The sequence below is a fragment of the Homo sapiens genome, chromosome 10 (assembly GCF_000001405.40).
Source record: "Homo sapiens chromosome 10, GRCh38.p14 Primary Assembly".
Classification (NCBI taxonomy): domain Eukaryota; kingdom Metazoa; phylum Chordata; class Mammalia; order Primates; family Hominidae; genus Homo; species Homo sapiens.
In genome coordinates this window covers 105,690,897-105,714,016 of record NC_000010.11, presented here as the reverse complement: position 1 = coordinate 105,714,016, position 23,120 = coordinate 105,690,897, and the positions used below count along the sequence as shown (strand labels likewise).

General features: G+C 39.3%; 1 long non-coding RNA gene across 1 annotated transcript in view, besides 1 other annotated feature; it reads left to right on the top strand.

Annotated features, from left to right (window-relative positions):
• LINC02627 (long intergenic non-protein coding RNA 2627) overlaps positions 1–23,120 on the top strand; it is a 146,724-nt gene that overhangs the window by 106,317 nt on the left and 17,287 nt on the right. The window lies entirely within an intron of this gene.
• Positions 13,105–13,846: an enhancer, noted in NCBI's record as "OCT4-NANOG hESC enhancer chr10:107459929-107460670 (GRCh37/hg19 assembly coordinates)". NCBI's record gives its function as "activates a minimal SCP1, AML or CMV promoter by ChIP-STARR-seq in naive H9 embryonic stem cells {active_cell/tissue: H9 hESC(naive)}" and the evidence as "EXISTENCE:reporter gene assay evidence [ECO:0000049][PMID:30033119]".

Here is a 23,120-nt window from a genome sequence, read left to right as displayed (position 1 = left end):
TACTCTGTTTGTGTGAAACCCACTCTGAATTTCTACTACTGTTAGCTCTGACTCTACTTTCTATTGCTGTCAAGTCTGACTCTTCATAGTTTCTCAGGAAAGGTTCTCACATGGGTGGGATTGAGGGTGATCAGGTTTTTATTCTTTTGAATGGCTGCTGTAGGCCAGCTGCTCTGAAAAAACAGAAGTGCTGGTGGACTTAGGGACAGAAAGAATGAGGAAGAAAATGTTGAGATGGTTTGAAAGTATCTGACTCTGCCCAAAAGGGTGGGCCAGATAGGGAATTACGGCAGAGTTTCTAGATAGCCACAGAGCCACATGAGTGTTATGCAGCAACAGAATGGCTGGGAGGCAAGATTTCCTAGAGATGGATGAGGAGAGTAGTTCTCAAAGAAAGCACAGAGAAAGGCATGAGTTTTAACATAAGATACTTTTTATTAAGAGTCTCGCTCTGTCACCCAGATTGAAGTGCAGTGATGTCATCCTAACTCACTGCAGCCTCGAACTCCTGAGCTCAGGTGATCCTCCCGCCTCAGCCTCCTGAGTAGCTGTGATTACAGGCATGTGCCATCACACCCATGAGATAGAATTTGATCAACTGTTGGTCCTGCTATTTGCTAGCTTTGGGACTTTAAGCAAGTAACTTATTTGTTTTAGAATCCTGAACAGGAACAGAAGTACCTAAGTCATAGAGTTGTTATAAGTATGAAAAGTGTTCATGCTAGAATGCTTAGCACTGGATCTAGCACATGGGAAGCATTTAATAAGTATCACACATCATCATCATCATTGATACTGATAATAGATTTATAGCAACATTACTCTGGGGCCGGACACGAAAGAGGAAGAATCAGAAGGATAGGATTTTTGTACCTAAAATGGAAACAGAAAGCCTAGAAAGAGAAAAGCAAGTCAATGTAAACCATAGGAATGTGCCCACATATATGTAAATGGTAAAAAAATATGGCACTGACCCAAACCTTGGGAAAGATTCTTTTAGTCATCCAGTTCCCGGGGACCTTAGAGTCCCATAGTGAAATAATTTTTAAGTTGATATTTTTGTCTCTTTGATTCTGTTTTCATCCACAAGAATTGAAAGGGAGTGGGACACAAAAAAGTTTGAAGAAGTCTCCAAACATTTGTAAGTTAACATCCCATTATTATTAGAGTCGTGGCTATATTGAAATTTTATTCAATAAAATATACACTCAAAAGGAGAGTGACACCCTGCTTTCTGTTCATCACACAGGGAGAAAAGAAAGCTAAAATTCAGGGAAAGGGCTCAGTGTATTAGAAAGACTGTCAGCTTTGGAAGCCTGGAGAGAGGGATTCCACCAGATACTCTATTACTTTCTAATGATACTCCCTTGAGAAAATTACATTGAATTTCTAAAGCTGAACTTTCTCATCTCCAAAACAGAAGATGATAAAGTAAAGAAAAATAAAGATGTGATATCAATAGCAGATGGAAATAAACCATCAATTAACTTTTCTGGTAGCTTGGAACTGCATGGAGGTGAAACAGGAGGGACAATTCCACAAACGAATTACCTTGGTTTCTCACGGCTGCTGTAAAAAGGACCACACACCTAGTGGTTTAAAAGAACCCACATTTATTCTTTGACAGTTCTGGAGGCCAGAAGTCTGAAATCAGGTTCACTGGGTAAAGCAAAATTGTTGGCAGGGCTGGCTTCTTTGGGGTTGGGGGTCTGGGGAGAACCTGCTTTCTTATTTTGTCTCACTTCTGAAGGCTGCCTGCATTTCTTGGCCATGACCTCTTCCTTGCATCACTCCAACCTCTTTGTTCCATCATTTTATCTTCTGCTTTCTTTTCTGTAACCAAATATTTTTCTGCCTTCCTCTTATGAAGACATTTCGGCCCACCCAGACAATCCAGAAAAATCTGCCCCTCTGAAGATCTGTCATTTAATCACATCTGCATGTTCCTTTTGTGATAGAAGTGAACATTCACGGGCTCCAGGCATTAAGATGTGAACATCTTGAGGGCTACTAGTCAGCCTGCCAAAAGAGCCATTTACCTATTTCTTCACCTGCCTAGTCAAAGGAACACTAGGCAAACACGCAGCCCAGCGATCCAGGATATAGGAATGAGAAGACACATAAATCGTGGGATGAAGAGGGAGATATAGGGCCAATGTTGAGTTCGACTTTAATAAAGATTTTGAGGAGCCTGGATTTGAAAGGCCTAAGATGTGGAGGATGAATATATCATAGAGTAGAAAATGAGGGTTAGCCTCAGTCAGACACACCAGCAGCTGCTCAGAGTGAGCTCTTCATCTCACAAATTGCCTCAGCTCTGAGCCATCTAATCCACATCAGTGACTGACAGCTATGCCCCAAGTAAGGTTATCATGAAAGTAACGCCTCAGCACTGTCTTGAGACAAACATGAGCATAAGTATCGTAACTAATTGATAGTGGAACTGCACTTTCCAGCAGAAGACAACACCATAAAGACTAAGGTTTTTTTACAGACAGACTGTTAAAACAAGACTAGATGAAAACAAGCAAAAAGTACCATATTGTGTGAACTACACTAACATTTTGAATTCCCAACTATTTACTTGATACGGGCTGATAATTTTATTCCTAATTCAATGTCAGATACTCAAATGAGCAGAGCTCTTGAAAGTCAGGTGACTTACTTTGTCAAAATGTAGGCATACTTTGGAGATATTGTGGATTCAGTTCCAGATTACTGCAATAAAGCAAAAATTACAATAAAGCAAGTTACACATTATTTTATTTTCCTAGTAAATATAAAAGTTATATTTGTGCTATACTGTAGCCTAAATATGCAGTAGCATTATATCTATAAACTACATACTTCAAAAATATTTTATTGCTAAAAAATGCTAACAATCATCTGAGCCTTCAATGAGTTGTAAAATATTTTTGCTGGTGGAGGGTCTTGCCTCAATGTTGATTGCTGCTGACTGAATAAGATGGTGCTAGAGTTTTGGGTGGCTGTGGCAATTTCTTAAAATATGACAACAATAAAGTTTACCAATTGACTCTTCCTTTTACAAAAGATTTCTTTGTACATGTGATGCTGTTTGATAGCATTTTACCCACAGTAGAAATTCTTTCAAAATTAAAGCCAATTCTCTTAAACCCTGTCACTGCTTTGTCAACTAAGTTTATGTAATATTCTTTTTTTGATGCACTTCTTATTTATTTATTAATGTTTGAATTTTTTTTTATTTTTATGGATTTAGGGGTACAAGTGTGGTTACGTTAAATAACTATATTGCATAATGGTGAAATCTGGGCTTTTAGTGTACCCATCACCCAAAGAGTGTACATTCTACCCAATAGGGTGGTATTTCATTCCTTACCCTCCTCTCACCCAATTTATGTAATATGCTAAATCCTTTGTCATTTCAACAATGTTCACAGGATTTTTACCAGGAGTGGATTCCATCTCAAGAAAATACTTTCTTTGCTCTTCCATAAAAGCAACTCCTCATCTGTTCAAATTTTATCATGAGATTGCAACAATTCGGTCACATCTTCAGCTTCCACTTTTAATCCTAGTTCTCTTGCTGTTTCCACCACATCTGCAGTTACTTTCTTCACTGAAGTCTTAGACCCCTCCAAGTGATACATGAAGGCTGGAATCAACCTCTTTCAAACTCTTATTATGTCAATATGTTGACCTTTTCCCATGAATCACAAATGTCCTTAATGGCATCTAGAATGTTGAATCCTTTCCAAAAGGTTTTCAGTTTACTTTGCCCAGGTCCATCAGAAGAATCATTATCTATAGCAGCTGTAACTTTATAAAACGTACTTCTTCAATAATAAGACTTGAAAGTTGAAATTGCTTCTTGATTGATGGGCTGCAGAATGGATGCTGTGTTATCGGGTATAAAAGCAACATTAATTTTCTTGTATATCTCCATCAGAGCTCTTGGGTGACTGGGTGTGTTGTCAGTGAACAGTAATATTTTGAAAGGAGTCTTTTTCCTGAGCAGTAGTTCTCAACAATGGCTTTAAAATATTCAGTAAAGCATGCTGTAGACAGATATGCTGTCATGCAGACTTAGTTGCTTCTTTTCAGGAGCACAGACAGAATAAATATATCATAATTCTTAAGAGCCCTAGAATTTTTGCAATGGTAAATGAACGTTGGCTTCAACTTAAAAATCACCGGTTGCGTTGGCCCTGACCAAGATCATCAGCCTGTCCTTTGAAGCCCGGCATTGACTTCTCCTTTCTGGCTATGAAATCCTAGATGGCATCTTTTATTTATTTTTTTAATAGAATGCTGTTTCATCTACATTGAAAATCTCTTGTTTTGTTCAGTCACTTTCATCAGTTATCTTAGATCTGGATAATATGCTGTGGCTTCTCCCTCAGCACTTGTTGCTTCACTTTGCACTTTTATGTTGTATATAGAGAAGACATCTTTCCTTAAATTGATGAACCAACCTCTGCTAGCTTCAAACTTTTCTTGTGATGCTTTCTCAGCTCTCTCAGCCTTCACAGAATTGAAGAGAGTCAGCACCCCTTGCTCCGAATTGTGCTGTAGCTTAAGGAAATGTTCTGGCTGGTTTGATCTTCCATCCAGACCACTACAACTTTCTCCATAGCACCTATAAGGCTGTTACACCTTCTTACTATTGTGTGTTCCCTGGAGTACCACTTTTAAATTCCTCCAAGAACTTTTCCTTTGCATTCAGAACTTGGCAAACTGTGTGGTGCAAGAGGCCTAGCTTTCAGCCTGCCTTGGCTTTTGACATGCCTTGCTCACTAAGCTTAATCATGTCTAGCTTTTGATTTAAAGTGAGAGATGTGTGGCTCTTCCTTCACTTGAACACCTAGAGGCCATTTGAAGGGATATTAATTGGCCTAATTTCAATATAGTTGTGTCTCAGAGAACAAGATGGCCCAAAGAGAGGGAGAGAGACAGAACACAGCTGGTCAATGGAGCAGTCAGAACACATACAACATTGATTAATTAAATTTGTCATCTTACATGTGTGAGGTTTGTGGTGCCCCAAAATAATTATGATAGTAACATAAAAGACCACTGATCACAGATCACTATAACAGATATAATCATTATGAAAATATTTGAAATATTGTGAGAATTACCGATATGTGACACATAGCCACAAAGTGGGCACATGCTGGTGGAATGTAGCACTAGTAGAATTGCAAGCACTAGTAGAATTGCACTAGTGGAATGCAGCACTAGTAGAATGTAGCACCAGTAGAATTGCAAGATGCAGGCTGGGTGTGGTGGCTCACACCTGCAATCCCAGCAGTTTGGGAGCCCGAGGTGGGCGGATCACCTGAGGTCAGGAGTTCAAGACCAGCCTGGCCACCATGGCGAAACCCTGTCTCTACTAAAAATACAAAATTGAGCCAGGCATAGTGGCTTGCACCTGTAATCCCAGCTACTCGGGAGGCTGAGGCAGGAGAATCGCTTGAACCCAGGAGGCAGAGGTTGCAGTGAGCCAAGATCATGCCATTGCACTCCAGCCTGGGTGACAGGAGCAAGACTCCATTTCCAAAAAAAAAAAAAAAAAAAAAAAAAAAAGAATTGCAAGATGCAGGATTGCCATGCACCATCAATTTGTAAAAAAAAAAAATGCATTTTCTGTGAAGTGAAGTAAAACAAGTCATGCTTATGTAATTCCTGGAGTTCAGTTCTTTTGTTCTGTGATCTTCCATTTTGATTGGGATTCAAAGTTTTCTTTTTGTGTTTTTTTTTTTTTTGTAAATATTCTTATTTCTACTTGAGTAAGTGACTGGCCTACTTATCTAATGAGCTACATAACTTTGGGAAAGTCTTTAAACTTCTCTGGGTTCCAGTTACACTTTTCACAAAGCAATGGGGCACATAAAATGGTCTCTTTAGTCAGTGGTCCCAATCGTTATTCACCTCACAACTCACATAGAACAAAATATTGTAATGGCTTGTTGGAGTCAACAGATGCGACAATCCAACGCCTGTGCTTCCTGGCCCAGGAGCTCTGCTGTCCAAAGCCCTATATGTTGCCCCAAAGGCTAAGAGGATCAATATATCTGCACATTTATAGTCCTCTGTAAGACGAGGCACACAGAGGGTAGCCCTGAGTAAAAGAATTAAAAGTCTGTGGGATGGCAGTTTGGTAATATCCTAAACAGATAATCTTTCTTAGCTTTGAAACTTTCTACTTCCTTAAATTACGTCATCACCAAAGTCATCAGTTATATGTACAGAAAGAGACATATTAGGCACCTTGATACTTTTTTCCTTTTGCTTTTTACCTCTTTCTATGCCTCATCCCAACAGACCTATTCTGTAATTCATTTGCTTAATATTTATGTTGCTGGTCTCCTAAGCTTATTGTTTTGCTTTGCTTTTTTCTTTTATAACTGAATGTTTTGGGATTCATGTCATTGTCAAAATGCAAGCCATCCAAACAAAGTGAAAGGGAAAACTAAAACACCCCCAATTTAACTACCTCCTCTTCACATTTTAGGGAAATCCTTCCAGGCTTTTCTCTATGCTAATAGCGTATTTGCATTCTATTTTTTATATATGAGTTTATCTTTACTCATCCTTGCTACTAAGTGATCTGTTGTAGATGGACATTCATCTTCACTTTTAATGACGGAAGAGAATTACTTTGTATATGTTATGTTGTTGAACATTTAGATAATTTATTTTCCCTACTTCAAAACAATATTTCAGATAAGCATTTTTGTGCATTTTTTTAGTCTTTTGCAGTTAGTAGTGAAATTACAGATACAAAAGTCATGGCCCATTTATGTTTTGATAGATGTTGACTGAGCCTGCTCCCAAGGATGCATGAGCACATCCTCTTGATGTTTTCTCTATTTTCCTAACATCATACTCCTGCCTAACACCCACAGCTGCCAAGAACTATCCAGCCCTACACTTCAGTTGTAGTGTTACTGCTTCAGGGAAACCTTTCTTACCTTGCTCAGAAATTTACTATTTTCTTCTTGTGTTCTCTGACAGACCCTTCTACATACCTGTAATATGGCATTTATTAAATGCATACAACATATTCTGCATGTCTGTCTCATCCACAGCTGTTGGCCCTAAAGCACAGAGATCATAGGAGGCCATATACGGAACACCACAGTAATATCTTGAGCTCTGGTTTCAATTGTCTGGACTCAAATATTTGCTCTTTCACTTAATAGCTGTGTACTGTTGAGCAAGCTATTTACTCTCCTCAACTTTTTATTTCCTCATCTGTAAAACAGAGCTAGATATAGTGCCTACTTCATAGGATAGGTGTGAGAACTTCAATGAGATAATGTACAAAGTACTTAGACTCCGTGACAAAAATGGAGAAGTAAACAAATTTCATTGAATATTCATTTGGTGCCAAGCACTATGTTGATACATAACTGATGCCCACTGTATTTTAGATGAATGAAGAGCTCCGAAATCCTAATTATTTGGACCTATGCTTTTTCAGTCAGCATACTCAAGTTGTAAACCATGCAATTTGTGTATAGTGATGTTTTTACCAGGGCTGATTGTATGTACACATACACACAGGGCATTTATCATTGCCTCTTTTCCCTATTACCTTTCTGCTAGATCTCTGGTCATTGAGGGTTTGCACTCACCCCCTGATTATTCATTGTTTTATTCATACACCTCCCCTGTAGTATTTTGTTCTTCATATGGGGCCTGTTCCAGAACAAGGAAGGAAATAATTGTTCATTGGAAAGAAGGAAGAGAGAACAAGAGCTCAAATCTATTAAGTTGTTTAGCTTGACTGTTAAGTTGCAAAGAAGGACAACTACAGCAGCAAGGTCCTTTTAATTTTCTTGTTCTTAGCACTTTATTTCAAAGCAGCATGATGCTCAATCTCTCTAGTTGAGTTAACCACAGTAAAAACTAACAGTTATCTCCTAGGCATATTACCTCTTGAGTTAAGCTATGCTTTTCTTACCCTTTTCCCCAGTAAGACTTGAACATTTGGCGCCTCTTTCTCCACTATCTGCTACTGTACCTTGTGGTAACTCAGAGACTTGACCCTATTGGGAACTTCCAGTCTACTTGGAGGTCCTCTGTTGACTTTCCTCCACCTGTCCCTAACACCCACTCAAATTTCTGCCTCCCTTCTAAAATTTAAAGCACACAGATTGTTTGTTTGTTTGTTTATTTCCTTGTATTTTGAGTTTTTACATGTGGTTCGTATCTGCCCACTGGATGTGAGCTTCCTGAGACAAGAGAGAAACACCACATCTTACTCACATTTTATTTTTCTACGTGATTAGCGAAGTTACTAGAATATGGCAAGAGTTCTCCCCAAAATGTAAGCTATTTTATGTAGGTATTGCCTACCATAATAATAGAAGCTAACAACTTTTGAGTGCTTTTTATGTAAACGATGATGTTAAAGACTTTACATATATATCCTTTCTATTCTTCTCAGTTCTCTGACTCAGTTGCTATTATTATTCTCACATTCTCTTTATTGCAGAAAAGAACCTAGGCACAGAGAGATTCGGTTAATTTGCCTAATGTCACACAGCTGCTAACAGGTAAAGACAGTGTTTGAGCCAAGTCATTATGACTCTGGAGACTGAGTTTTAGCAGAAATAGAACGTTGCTGACCAGAGGGGATGTGTCTTTGGGGAAAGTGCATGAAGGTTAAACAAGACACCTGCATCAGGAAATAAAGTATAGCTCTCCTGCAGAGAGCTTAATCCAGAGGGACTACCCCAGCTTAAAGGGGGCAAACAAGCCAAAAAGTGTTCTTCCAAAAGGATGGTGTCTTGCTTGGTATCCCATACTTGTCTTGTTTGGCTTCTAGAATTCACATCACCTAGGAGTTAGTGTGCCGCATCAATAACCTCTAAATGCAGATGCTTTTAAAAATGTCAGTACAAATCACAGCTGTTACATTTATGGAGAGTGCAAAAGAATCACTGCACTTTATATACAAATAAGAAGTAACAAAATTTATTTCTATTGTTCTCTTTATTGACTAATGAATAGAATGATGAAATGATACCTGTAGGCATCCAAAAGGCCACCACCACATCGAAACTGATCTTGAGACCTACTGCTTTCACCTGTACACAGCTTAAGTCTATAGTCATAACCCACATTTTATTTTAGAAAAAAGGCGAGAAGACAGTGAAATATCACTGCTGCTGATTTTAGGAAACATGGTATTATTAGTTGTTATTTGGGAGGATTTAATCCCAAATTGTAGCCTTATCAAGATACTTTACAAGTGAGTGGTTGGCGGACTCCCCAAGGGCTCTGCACCTATGACATGAAACATGGTAGCAGATATGATAGAAATTAGCCAGCCCAGACTCAAGAACCACTCCATCAGTACATATGTATTCATGAACATATGAACATATGAACATATGAACATAGAACAGGGCTGGGCACTGCATTAATTAACGAAGTCTGTGAGCCAAGTGCTAGAGTGTTGGCCCACGTGCTTTGCACTATTAATTCAAGAAGGCATTTAGGAATTATTGAGTGGCAGATATCATGCCAGGCATTTACGCTCACAATAACCTTATTGGGTGAGTATGTTTTTAATCTCTGTTTTGCTAATGAGGGATTGAGACTTTGTATCCTTCATGGTTTGGTCAAGAAAACCAAAGACTCTCCAACTAGCCCAAGTAAAACTCTTTTTATACAGGAACTAGAGGCTTGCACGATTGTTGGGATCTCTTCCTGGATAAGGGAACTGAAAATCAGAGAAGCTTCTAGTGGAATTCCAAAATCAAGAAACCTGTGCACAGGATCTCATCACCTGTGGCACTAAAGCAGGAATTAAAGGTGTTCGTCCAGGGAAAGATTCACACAACAACAATCACAAGAAAGAGCAGTCAGGGATTTTCACTCTCTGTGTCACCTGTGTGGGTACTTCTCCAGGTACCCTAGGTCATGGTTATGACATTCTTATCTGCCCATGTTTCTGCCTGCAACCACCACCAGAGAAGAAGTGCTCTCCTTCTCATCCAATGTTTAAATCTCACAAACATAATGGAATCGATCTTAGGACCATATAGGGAAAATGTTTCTGGGTATTGTTGTTACAGATTTTCCCCCTTCTATACAGAAGACAATGTAAAAGGGGCTGGTAATGATTCTAAATTGACAACAGAACATGAGAAATGTGCTGGTAAATGTGATGAAGCTTGTCCAACAGCATACAAGTCATTAGTAGCAGGAGTGTCAGGAATGGAACCCACAATGGTCTCACTCCAATGTGTATTCCACTGAATGATTGACATATATTACAAGAAATACAATATAGGAAATATTATATTACTAATATAATACAAGAACATTAGCCTAGGTAGCCATGAAAATCTTCAAAGAATAGAAATAATTTGAGTTGGTCAGTAGAGTTCTTTCTCCCTTTCTTTCCTTCCTCCTTCCTTCCTCCCTCCCTTCTTCCTTCCTTCCTTCCTCCTTCCTTCCTTCCTTCCTTCCTTTCTTTCTTTCTTTCTTTCTTTCTTTCTTTCTTTCTTTCTTTTCTTTCTTTTTCTTTCTTTTGACAGGATTTTGCTCTATTGCCAAGACTGGGGTACACTGGCACAATCATAGCTCACTGTAACCCCCAACTCCTGGTCTCAAGCAATCCTCCTGCCTCAGTCTCCCAAGTAGCTAGGACTATAGGTGCATACACCTAGCTAATTTTATTTTTGTAGAGATGGGGTCTCACTATGTCACCCAGGCTGGTCTTGAACTTCTGGGCTCAAGCAGTTCTCCAACTTTGGCCTCTCAAAGCACCGAGATTACAGGTATGAGCCACCTTGTCTGGCCTCAGTGGGGTTCTAACGGGTAGATGGGAGCACTGTGAATATGCCAAAAGCTTGAAATGACCTGAGCAATCAGAGAGGAGTGTTGGTGCATAACAAATCAATCTGAAGGACTGTAAATCCGAAAGTGCATTTTTGTCACTTCTTGTCTCTGCCTCCAATTCCCGGCCTACCCTGGGCAGTGAATGAATAATTGCCGAAAATAATGACAATGACCTGTAATCAGCCATGTTTAGAAGCATCTGGATCCCTTCAGGCAGTGACAGTGGACTGAAAGGGCACATGTTACGCTCCTGCCTTCTCTTATCCCTGGCCAAAAAACAAGGTGAGCCGGGGAAAAAGTCCAGGACCAGCGTAAGTTAATGAGTTGCTTCTAATCTCAAAAATTTGTTATTGTGAGGCTGGGGTATTTTGCTCTTTTTTTTTCACACTGGGTTTTTTTTTTAATCCTATATCTACATAAATATGACAAGAAAGAAGAGGAAGGAAACAAAATGATAAGCAATCCAGATATTTAGATGTAAATATGAAACCCACACTTGTTCTGCATTCAAGAGATACAGGATTTGACAATCATTACTTTGAAAACAGCTTTAGCTTGCTGCGGATTTTTTCTCTTCTCTGCCCATTTCCAGCGACAGAGCCATCATGAAGAAGGATGTTCGAAGGCATCACATCTATAACCTTTGCCAAAGGCACACACAATCTTTGGAAGGAAGACTTTTATTTTCCCTGTCACCTTTAATGCTGGATATACCAGCTGAAAGCTGAATTCCAAGTATAAGGTCACTGCACGGAGGCTTCCTAAAGACATAGAGCTTGAAAAGAAATCTTTTCTGAATGTCACTCTCATTTCAGCTCACATTTTCCTGATACAGCACAGATGTACTAATTGGCCTTGCTGTCGACAGAAATAAACAAAACAAAACATTATTTGCCAACATCCCCCATAGAGGCATTCATGCCCATAATAAGCACAGGTCTCAGTTCAGGGTAATTAATTAAGATACACACAGGAAATGTCTAATGCACAATTTCCTTGTTCACATATTGTATGAATGGCCATGTTCATTCTTTAGAAAAGAATACTGCGCATTTTGTCTTACTTGAGGTTTTGAAAGAGCCTCTTAGAGATCAAAGTATAGGAATCAGTTGGTGAAAGTTTATATTTTTCTCCACACTTTGAGAATTTTGCTTTTTATTATTTTATAATTTACATTTCACAACACTCCCTTAAATAATGCCCACTCTCCTCTTGCAGTAATCATAACAAGGCCTGCTGTCTTAAACTGGTGGCCTACTGACCACATCTATCTGACAGATGGGTCTCAGAATTTTAAGCAAAAATAGCAAATTGGCTTCTTGCAACTAAAAATTTCACCAAAATTCAGATGATTTGCAATAATAGTAGGCCTCTGTCCTTGCATAGAAACTGGCTGAAATTAAGTCACTTCCACTTCCCTTTAATGAAGCAGACCCTTCAATATAGCATCTTCTTAGCCCTGTTCACCTTCCTGTGTTACTCACAGTGTAGCTCACAGAGCCGCAGGTCAGCATCCCCTGGAAGTTTATTACAAATGCAAATTCAGGGCGGGGTGCCGTGGCTCACGCCTGTAATCCTAGCACTTTGGGAGGCCGAGGCAGATGGATCATGAGGTCAGGAGATTGAGACCATCCTGGCCAACATGGTGAAACCCCGTCTCTATTAAAAATACAAAAATTAGCTGGGTGTGGTGGTGCACACCTGTAGTCCCCACTACTCGGGAGGCTGAGGCAGGAGAATTGCTTGAACCTGGGAGGAGGAGGTTGCAATGAGCCGAGATCATGCCACTGCACCCTATGCTGGCAACAAAGCGAGACTCCGTCACCCCCACCAAAAAAAAGAAAAAAAAAAAAAAAGAAAAAAAGAAATGCAAATTCACTGGCCCCACTCCAAACAATTCAATCAGAATATCCAGGGAAGAGGCCCAGCAATCTGAGTTTTAATAAGATCCCAGGTGATTCATATGAATATTAGAGTTTGACAAATCCTGCTCTCTACTAATTCACTTACCTGCCCAACTTTGCTTGACATTTAGATTTATGCCACTAACCTGGGCCCAGCAAACACTGTTATTTCCCTAGGTTTCCATTACCTTAGGAATCTCATGAGAAGAGCAAAACCAAAAACACTAGTCTTTATCTACAGTAGGTTAATTATAATTGATGCAATTTTCTTTTCCCCAGCCTGGATTATATTGCAAGCACCCAGTTGCTTTGCGACTTGCCAGAAAATGTGGACTTAGTGATAGTGGGTGAGTAAAAGCTATTGACACCTTTGGTTATTAGTCAGTGAGGTATCCCTGATTTGTTTTGCTTTGCAGGATCACTGAAAACTGCCAGATTTATTTCTTTGTTTTCTGGAGCTCAGTTATTTTGCCACTCAGATTTTATCTCCTCCCCAAGGGCAGCAAACTGGCTTCAGGCTACAGCAAAAAAGAAGGCAAAGCAGAGTGGTCTTGTGTCTTCCCCAACCATGTTTAATCGCACAAGGTCCTCTGGCTAGAGCCATGTCCCTACACTACAGTATAAAATTAGACCTCTCCCAGCAGTGGCAGAAGCTTAGTGTCCTTCAATCACCATTCAAAGCTAGATCTTCTCTGCCCTAAAAAAGCAGTTTTAAATGGCAGCCCCACTGAGTAACATCATAGCTGATAATAGCTCTGTTAGATGCTATGTAAAGCATCTTGGCCAAACTCTTCATTACCATTTGAAAACATCAGATGCTTTAGAATTGCTTCAGGTCTTTAAAAATCCCAGCTTCTACTCCTGGCAGGACTAAGAGATTCAGTAAGCCGGAGTCATGCCTCAGCCCAGAGATTCAAAATCACTATGCCATGTAATGGTAGTTCACATCTCTCTTTAGATCACCCAAAGCTGAATAGTCTAATTGTTCATGCTCAATTTATTTGTGCTCTCAGTTGCATTCACATGGGCAGCGTGGACAGTCTAAAGGGGGAGCAGAGTGTAAAAAGCATTCAAAATAGCAACTGGTAGTTACAGTAATTGAGGAATCAGCCTCGAGGTTAAGGTATTGATTCATTTTGATAATATTACATATGCTGTGAAATTTTCTGATAGTTAAACCATCACTGATATCTACTGAGGTAATAATACACACTTAATAATGTTTCACTCAACACCACAGATTTGAAAATGCATTTCAAAATTGCACTTTCTAGCTCCGCCATAAATTAGCATACAGGATTCTGTGGACACTGGCATCAGCTCAGAATTTCACAATTTTAGAAAACATTACCCCAGCTTCAGCAGAGCCGGTGAGGTTTTCCTATCAATAACTTCAGAATGAAAAAAAAAAAAAAATCTGCCTCCTTGTCTCTTTGCATCCAAATGGAACTTAAAATACAGTCACTCTTCTCAGGATCCAGGCCAGAACTGCCACCGTCATCTCTGTGCTTGACAGTAAAAGAAACACAGGAAAACCACAGGGTGCCTCTAGGTACTCAGCACTGGAAATTGGCTTTGCTAATAAAGAGAAAGTATCACCTACAGCAGCTACTGGTATTTGTCCCTAAATGAGTGAGGATACTCGCCTCCTGGGACCGCTGGGGAGGGATGCTGCAAAGGACTCAGACTTGGAGGAAAAGCAACTGAGAATATATTCTCTGAGGCTCTATCTTGAAATGTTTGTCAGCACAACTGAGAGTCCGTCTTAGAGCACAGGGGCTTCAGAGAGCAAATGAAAATGGTGTCTAACTTGTGTTAGGTGGAGTCCAAACTGTTTACTCCAGCATTCAATGCCTACCAGTTCTGGTCTCTCCCTCTAACTTTGTCTCCTATGGCTCTGCAGCAAGGACCATGTGACCTACCCATCTCCTAGGGACAAACTGTGCCTGTCTGCCTATCTGTCTGCAGAGCATACTCACAGACTCAGCCCCTACCTGGAGTTCTCCCACTTTGTTTATGCATCTGAGGCTTTCCTTTCTTTTTAAGACTAACTCTGTCCCATGTTCCTTCTCCAGAAATCTTTTCCTACAGCCCCAGGCCTCCCTCCTTCCTTTCATCCCTCTGCTGAGCTGGATCACACGGGCGTATGGTGGGTCCTACGTAGTCAGTCGCCTTGCTCTCCTTTGCAGGATACATACTCAGTGAGCACTTGTTCTGGAGGAGACGTACCTTTTACTTCTATTATTTGTTCTTGTTGTTTATGTGGCAGGTGGAAGACCTCTGCATATCATACACTGGCTTGGCACTTTTACTCACCATTTTGAAGGCAGCAACATTTCTTCTCACTAATATTACTAAAAACCATGAATACAGGGAGGGGAGTGGGAGGCAGGTGGTATGTGTAATACAGTTCTCCTGGGACTTAGCAATATGTATGCAGTGGAGGGTGGGGAGAGCTCAGCCGTCTGAGTTGGTGCAAGCTTAATAAATCAGGGAGCTGAGAATAAATCAGGGAGTGTTTGGAGAACTCCACCAAACATTCATCCGTCTGAATATGATCTAAGCCAGGCCAAGGAGGGTAAGGGAGCTTATTCACAAAAGCAAGCTTAAAATCTCCATGTTTTGAATAAATTCCAGCATTGATTATTTATTAATTCCACAAATATTTGTTGAGCATTTATTCTATGAAAAGAGCTGTTCTGAATGCAGGAGTTGGGGTAATTCGCAAGGCAAACACTTTCCCTGTCCTCATATACCATGCATACCAGTAGCAACGATACTCCATAAGGGTGGTAGAGGGATTCAGTTTCTTCTCTGTCTCTAGGATTTAGGTTTGGAGATGGGTTTTACAGGATGCATAGGAGTCTTTCAGGAGAGAACAGCATACACAAAAGCATAAAATTTTAAAGCCATGTGGCTTAATTGGGAAAATGCAAATAGAGTTCAAAGACAAGAGCAGATGCTGGAATGGCCAGGACCCTTTTCATAGAGAGCCTCAAATTCCCACTAAGCCAGAGCACTTAGAATCACAGTAATAACAGGAATATAAAGTTGTTGTAGCCTTTTTCTTCTCCTCTGAATTAAAGCACAAAATAAATTTTAAAATAATCTTATTCTTCTTCAATGTCCACTCTGGCTTCAGAGGTAGCAGATAGTAGGTTGTATACGTTGAAAAAGCACAGAGATCTCATAGCTCCTCTTTTTTCTGGATCACTTTCCAGGTCTCCTTCAGGGTCCAGTACATAGTAATAAGGTTTTTGCCAGATTATCTAAAAGTAGACACAGCTGATGCGTAGAAAGGAAGAAAAAAGAATAATCAAATGCCCCAGCAGCTCATACCCACTTTACTGTGATGCTCTCCCCTTCCTAATGGGGAGACCTTAGCTGGAGAAGTGGCTCCCACATTTCCTCTGATCACCATCAGTACATCTTTATGTTCTGGATAAAATACATCCTTTATCTCATTAAATTCATGTGCTCAATGGTTATTAAAATGGTGCACCAATACAGTAACTTTGTTTGAGGTAGTGTGCTGGGTAAATATTTTATTTTCTGATGAGTGCTTGAGTTTTATTTGCCAGCATTAAAACTGGGGCAGAGTGACTGGAGATACGAATAGAGATATTTACCAGCACAAGGAGATGATACACAGATGTTAATGAAAGCTCTGGGGGTAGTTTTCTGGGCTGTTGAATGTAATTTCTCACATCGCCAAATGGCTGTAATAGGGAAACACCCTGAAAAGAATTCTCTAATGTTTGTGCATATGCAGCAGAGGATCATTGGGAAGTTAATGTGCTATGCAAGACAGATATTCATTCATTCATTCATTTGGTATGGTGTAAGGCGTGGAACTGAACACTGGATCTTTTGTGCCTCTCTGTCTGTCCATTTGGTTTCCTTACCCCAAATCTCCATTTCTGCCAAGTTAGCTTCCCTTTGAAGGTCAAGGCTAAAGCTCTTATTTTACCTCCTCTTAGCACCTTTCCAAACCTCCTGGACTGACTCATCTCCACTCATAGAGAACCATAAACACACTTCTGTTAGAATAATTTGCACATTTATTAACTCTTTGTTTATGTCCTTGTGTAGTTCACTGGATTATGGTTGCTTAAAAGCAGAAAGCATGCTTATTCTTCATTGTATTTACTCCATAACCCCTTTCCAATGTGCCCTGTATTTAGCAAAGAGATCACCATGTGTTAAACTACCCTCTCATTATTCCTGGTACCAAATATGTGTTTATTGGATGAAAAATCAGTCAGCGAGGCAGGAGATCTTGGCTGACTCTACAAAAGACACCTGACCTTTTCTGTACTTTTTAAGAGCTTTATGGGCTAGCAGTCATTTATGTGTTCACTCATTTTATAAGCATTTAATATGTCCTTAACATGAGCAGAACACTAGGAAGATGCAAGCATCTACTCTCAAACTCCCTGGAATCCTGGAGGAAGTAGTAGGAGCCATTGCCAAACAAATATAAATGTATGTTGTTGAAACTGTAGCTAGAAAATTTTGAGAAAATACAAAGTAAGGTCATGATCAAGACAGTATAATTTTGCTTCTAACTTCTTAGGACTACCTATGATTCTAGAAAATGGTTAGTTGTTCCTTGCAGATGCAAGACACAGAATATATAATGTACAGCTATTGACCTTTGTCCATTCCCAAATCCAAATTCCGGCACCAAGATGATAATTTTTGTATGGAGGAGAACCTAGCCCAGCAAAATCTCAATTGTTCACTTGATGCTGAAGATAAGACTCCAGCCAATGATCTGATCCTAATCAGTAGCCAGATCTATACCTCTGAGACTCATGCATCTGTTTGTGTATTTACCTGGGACACTTCTTTAATATAAACCATATTTCCTCCACCCAGTGCACATTAGATGGGTTCAGTCTTCTGGAAACTTCCTGTGCCCGAGAATGGAAGTCTCTTACAATAAAGATTGCAGCTCTTGTCTCCATAAAGAGCCTCGTGCACTGTGTCGATCCTCTCCATTTCTAGATACTGTTCATTACACATGCCACGTAGTCTCTTGAAATGATTTGGTACAAACACCATGGCTATTATCTAAAAAGGAAAAGAGAACACAGTAATTGATAACACAACCCTAAGAAAATTAATTATCCCCCTTTCTGATTTTCACTTAGAGCAAAGTACACAGTAACATTGCAGTCTATCCGCTGCCCCAACCTACTCCAGCAACTCTTTACTGAATGAGCAATTAGATGAACTATATATTGCATGCCAAGCAAACCCTGCCATGATAAAAGAACTTGTTTCATGTTATCTTTTCTTTTGTATGCCAAAGATTAGAAAATACAAATTCAAGTGACTGAATTATCTGCAATACAAATTGCTGATATTTTTTTAATGTGCCCTTGACTGCATACAAGAAGGAGAAGTGTAAAGAGGCTAGAAATGAGTGCCTTATCACAAAAACCCATCTGTGTGTTTCATGCAAGAAAAATAAGATGACATGATTTTGAAAATAGACTGATGAGAGGCCTAGACTTAATTTGGGGTTTGAAAGTAGAGAAAATGTCAAATCATCTCTAACAAAGGTCGACCGAAAGAGCAAGCATGCAGAAATGCCTGCCTTCTGGCTTTCTCAAGGGAGAGTCTTCATCATTGTAATCTGCTTGGATTCTTGGGGGAAAAAAATAGAAGAAGAACAATACTGGATCAAAGCAATGGGTGCTCTGTGACAGGAATGCACTTCCAGACCGAAATGTGTAACTATCTCTGCCACTTTGTTTTGCTTTTGCATATATTGAGACAGAAATGCCCGGAAGACCAGCCTTTGGAACAGTCTAAACAAGTATAAAAAGGATGTCCATCCTTTCATTTTTCTCATAGTCTCTTCAGTTGGGAAAGTCCTTATCTTCAACACCATGCATAGCATCCCCGCCTGCTCCCTGCCACCTAGAAGCCCAAACATGATTTTGGTATGTCACATGTAGGTCGGCTCTGTCCTCATTCCTCACCATCTCATAAGGTCCTCAGCTCTCTTTTGCTGTATTTGTCATTTTCTTATTTTATTCCCTTATCCCTCTATCTAGTTCCCTTATCCCTCCATCTGACTTTTCAACTAGTTTTTTGCTCCTATCAAACCACCTTAGCAATAGCCCTTGAAATGATATGTTAAAGTTATAGTTTAAATATCATAATTTAATGATAATCTTTGAATGATAAGGACCTCCTTTTTCTGCTATTACTACTTAAAGTCATGCCTAATATTCCGAATGTTAATCATTTTGCAATTCTTGCAAAATTTAATGCAAGAGAGGTTGCAAACTTTTGGTGTATGGAAGTGAGAGAATGAATAAGTGGTTTGGCACGGTTTAATTTTGACTGTGGAGTAAAGAGAAGAACCACTCAATCTCTGGAAAACAAAGATTATCATGTGTGATGAAGAATTAATATTAGGGGACAGATATAACACCTTATATATTACTTACTTTAGTCCTTACATATTTTGTAAATGAGGAAAGTTCAGAGACAGGACCAGTAATTTGCCCAAGAGCATATTTGTAGCAAATGGCCGAACCAGGATTCAAATTATTTGTCTGCATTGTTGATAGATGTCTATATAATATGAATTCAGTAGGAAAGGAGGAAGGGTAAGAAAGGGGGTTCAAAAGGAATTCATGCCCCATCTGTATACATCCCCTACAAACTCTCCAAAAAGACTTGAAATTCCAGAATAGAAGTTTCAATTCCTTTGGTTAAAATATTGTTCTGTTAAGAAGCAAATAAAAGCGATGTGGGAAAGATTAACTTTCAGCTCTCTGTCATTGTCACATTCATGACAGTTACCTTTGGAACTCTTCCTGAAAGTTGACTTTAATAATCAAAAGAGCCAGTGTGCCAGAAAGAGCTAGTACCCTATATAAACAGCCTCAGGCTTAGGGCTGAGGTGGGATCTGCTTTAGTATTTTGGTCCTGGCACTGTGTAATGTATGCCTTTCCTAGATGTTCCAAAGGAAGTGGCCATAACTTAAGAAAATCTAATTTGAAAAAGAATTAGAGAAGGATAATCATTGAAACACCTCTGCCCTGATTCAGTATATAATTTAACACTAATTTTCCACTCCTAAGGAGATGTTTATGCCATCTGTTTCGTGCTGTCTACACAGCCAGCTTCACAGTAGTTTATTCTTGGTCTCTTTGAATATACTGCATTTCTTGAGGGTTATTAACAAAAAGGCTTTTTGCTTTCAGATATGGCTCCTGGTTCATAACAATTCAAGAGCAAACAGATTGATGCTATAGAGTTTAAAGAGGTGCCCATCCTAGAACCAAACAAGGACCAACCAAAGATCATAAAGAAGGTCTACAGATTTTAAATAGCTGTTCTTGGAAATAAAAAGAAAAAAAAAAACAGAGGAAGGGAGGAAAGAAAGAAGGGAAGAAAGGAGGGAAGGGAGCAAGGGAGGGAGGCGGGAAGGAAAGGAAAAGTTTATCTTAAAACTCTGTCTTTTGTTCTATACATGGTCTTTGCCAGCCTATTTCTAGAGACTTCAAACAATACTATCTACATAGCCCATATAACTGAGCTGAGCTGAAAGCTACCTCAAGCTCCATGTTTTTTGTTTGTTTGTTTTGTTTTGTTTTTGAGATGAAATCTCACTCTTGTCACCCAGGCTAGAGTGCAATGACGCGATCTCAGCTCACTGCAACCTCCGCCTCGCGGGTTCAAACGATTCTCCTGCCTCGGCTTCCCAGTAGCTGGGATTACAGGTGCCTGCCACCACGCCTGGCTAATTTTTGTATTTTTAGTAGAGACGGGATTTCACCATGTTGTCCAGGCTGGTCTCGAACTCCTGACCTCAGGCTATCTGCCTGCCTTGGCCTCCCAAGGTGCTGGGATTACAGGCATGAGCCACCATGCCCGGCGAAGCTCCATGTTTTTATTGGGAGCTTTTATTTTCTTGTGTACTATCATCAACTTAATGACACAAACAAAATTTGCTCCCCAATACCAAAGCAGTGGGTTTTGTCTTTGTTAGACCTCTAATACCCCAAACTTATTTCCAACTTGGCTGTTGCCTGCAAAGAAACAGAGAAGAGTTAAACATAATGAATGACCAATAAATGTCAACTATGATGATGATGATTGATAATGATAATGATGATTGAGATCATTTTTGCTAATGAATATTTAAAAGACATAATTTATATCATGTGACTGTTGTAATTTCCATTTCTGCATGTACCTTTTTGTCTACTTAATTTTAAAGTCATTGCACAAGTATGCATTTGGGTACATACACATAGTCTACAGTTTTGAAATTTTTCATTTAATATGATCCAAGGAACCTAAAATTTGTCATTTAAAAAATTTCCATTTGTCATTTCTACTTTTCTACCCCCAGGAGAGAAGTAAATAATGCTTCTTTAAAGATAGTATTCCCCAACTCACTCATAACTCACCCAGGGCTCCTTCCATTGCAACCCAAAAGCCTCCCAGAATAGCACTGCTCTCATTCTTGGGAACCTCAAACCTATGAGGATGATGGACAGAATTTTAGTTCTCCATCCTCGGAGAGTTGGCAGAAACCACATTCCTGTAACAAGTCAGAGCCTCAGAGAAGAACAGCATTCTCAATACTTAGTCTCAATACTCAATACTTGGTCAGCTTGTGTTGACTTAAGGGTCTGGGAGTATGCTTGGGGAACTTCATGTCCTCTTTTTAAGAAAAAGGTATTATTTGGAGCTATTAAGTAGTTTCAGAACACAAATTATAAAAGTCATCTACCCTATGTGTTGCATTGGTTTTTTTTTTGTTTTTTTGTTTGTTTGTTTGTTTTTTAGTATTTGCAAAAGTCAATAGGGAAACATACCAAACAAGGTACCTCACATCTTTCTCTGTATCTACAGATCTTCTTATTATGGTGTACATGACAGACACCTACTACATTATGTCCAATAATCAATTAATGAGATGCTATCCCTAAGAAATCTCATGAGCTAGTGACATCAGATGTTCAAGAGGGATAGAAAGATAAATAAAGGTATGTTTGTGGTGAACATGGACTTCGAACCCATTGCCAAATCTTCAGAGTGAGTGAAAATGGAGTTTATTGAGAAAAAGAGTTCATGCACTTTAGACGCTTGGATCCATGTAGCATCCTATAAATCAGAACAGTGGTGGGATTTTAAGTTAATTAGGGCATGATCAAGAGTACTCAAAGAAAGTTTACAAAGACCACCTGCTTGAGGTGCATATGATAAATCTGGGAAAATCCTCCCAGTAGAGGGGGCTATAGGCTTATCAGTTGTACCTGTCACAACATGCAAACAGGGCAAATCTGAAGATTCCATTTATCTGTATATCCCTAGGACATTCTTGCTATAGCAAGATACATATCAAATATATCTATCCTATATCAAATACACACATATCTATTTAACTATTCATCTACTTATCAATATTTTTATCATCATCATCACAATATAGAAATTGGGGCTTGGGTGTGGAGAGTAAACAAAAGGAAGGTTGTATTTAACTCCAGGAAATGATAAGGGGGAAAAGTAAGGAACTGGAAAGAAATATTTTATATAGTTTTCCAAGCTTGAAAAATTCTGAACGTTTACAGGAAGATGAAAAATCCCTGGAGTCATTTATGACAACATAGATGGAATTGGAGGACATTAGGCTAAGTGAAATAAGCTAAACACATAAAGACAAATACTGAATGTTCTTACTGACGTGTGGAGTCTAAAACAATTGAACTCATAGAAACAAATAGGGAAGAGGTGTTTACCTGAGACTGGATGGTGGAGGATTGGCGAGATGATAACAAAGGGTACAAAGCCTTAGATAGGAAGAATGAGTTTGTTTTTGGTTTTTGTTGTTGTGGTTTGTTTGTTTTTTGAGATCTATTGCACAGTGTGGTGAATATAGCTAATCACTGAATACTGCATATTTCAATATAGCTAAGAGAGTAAACCACAAATGTTTTTTATCACAAAAAATGCCAAATATTTGAGGTGATGAATAGGTTAATTAGCTCTATTTAAACATTCCACATTGCATTCAAAAATCATTACATTGCTTTTTACCCCATAAATATATACAACTATAATTTGTCAATATATCATTTTTAAAAATCATTAGAATCCATTTTCTTGGTCCTTGTGGGATTGATAACAAGTTCATGTTGCACATGGAAAGTTCTGACTTACTAGGATCATGATTCCTGAGGTCAAGGTGGAGTGGGATGGTGGCTAATATGCATATCTATTTCCAAGAATCTGGCACTAGCAAGCACTATTCAGGTTGTTTGGAAGCTAGTACAGAGGACCCCTGTGGAAAATGTTAAGGCTGAGGAAGAAGAACCCAGTACCTAGGAATCCTGACT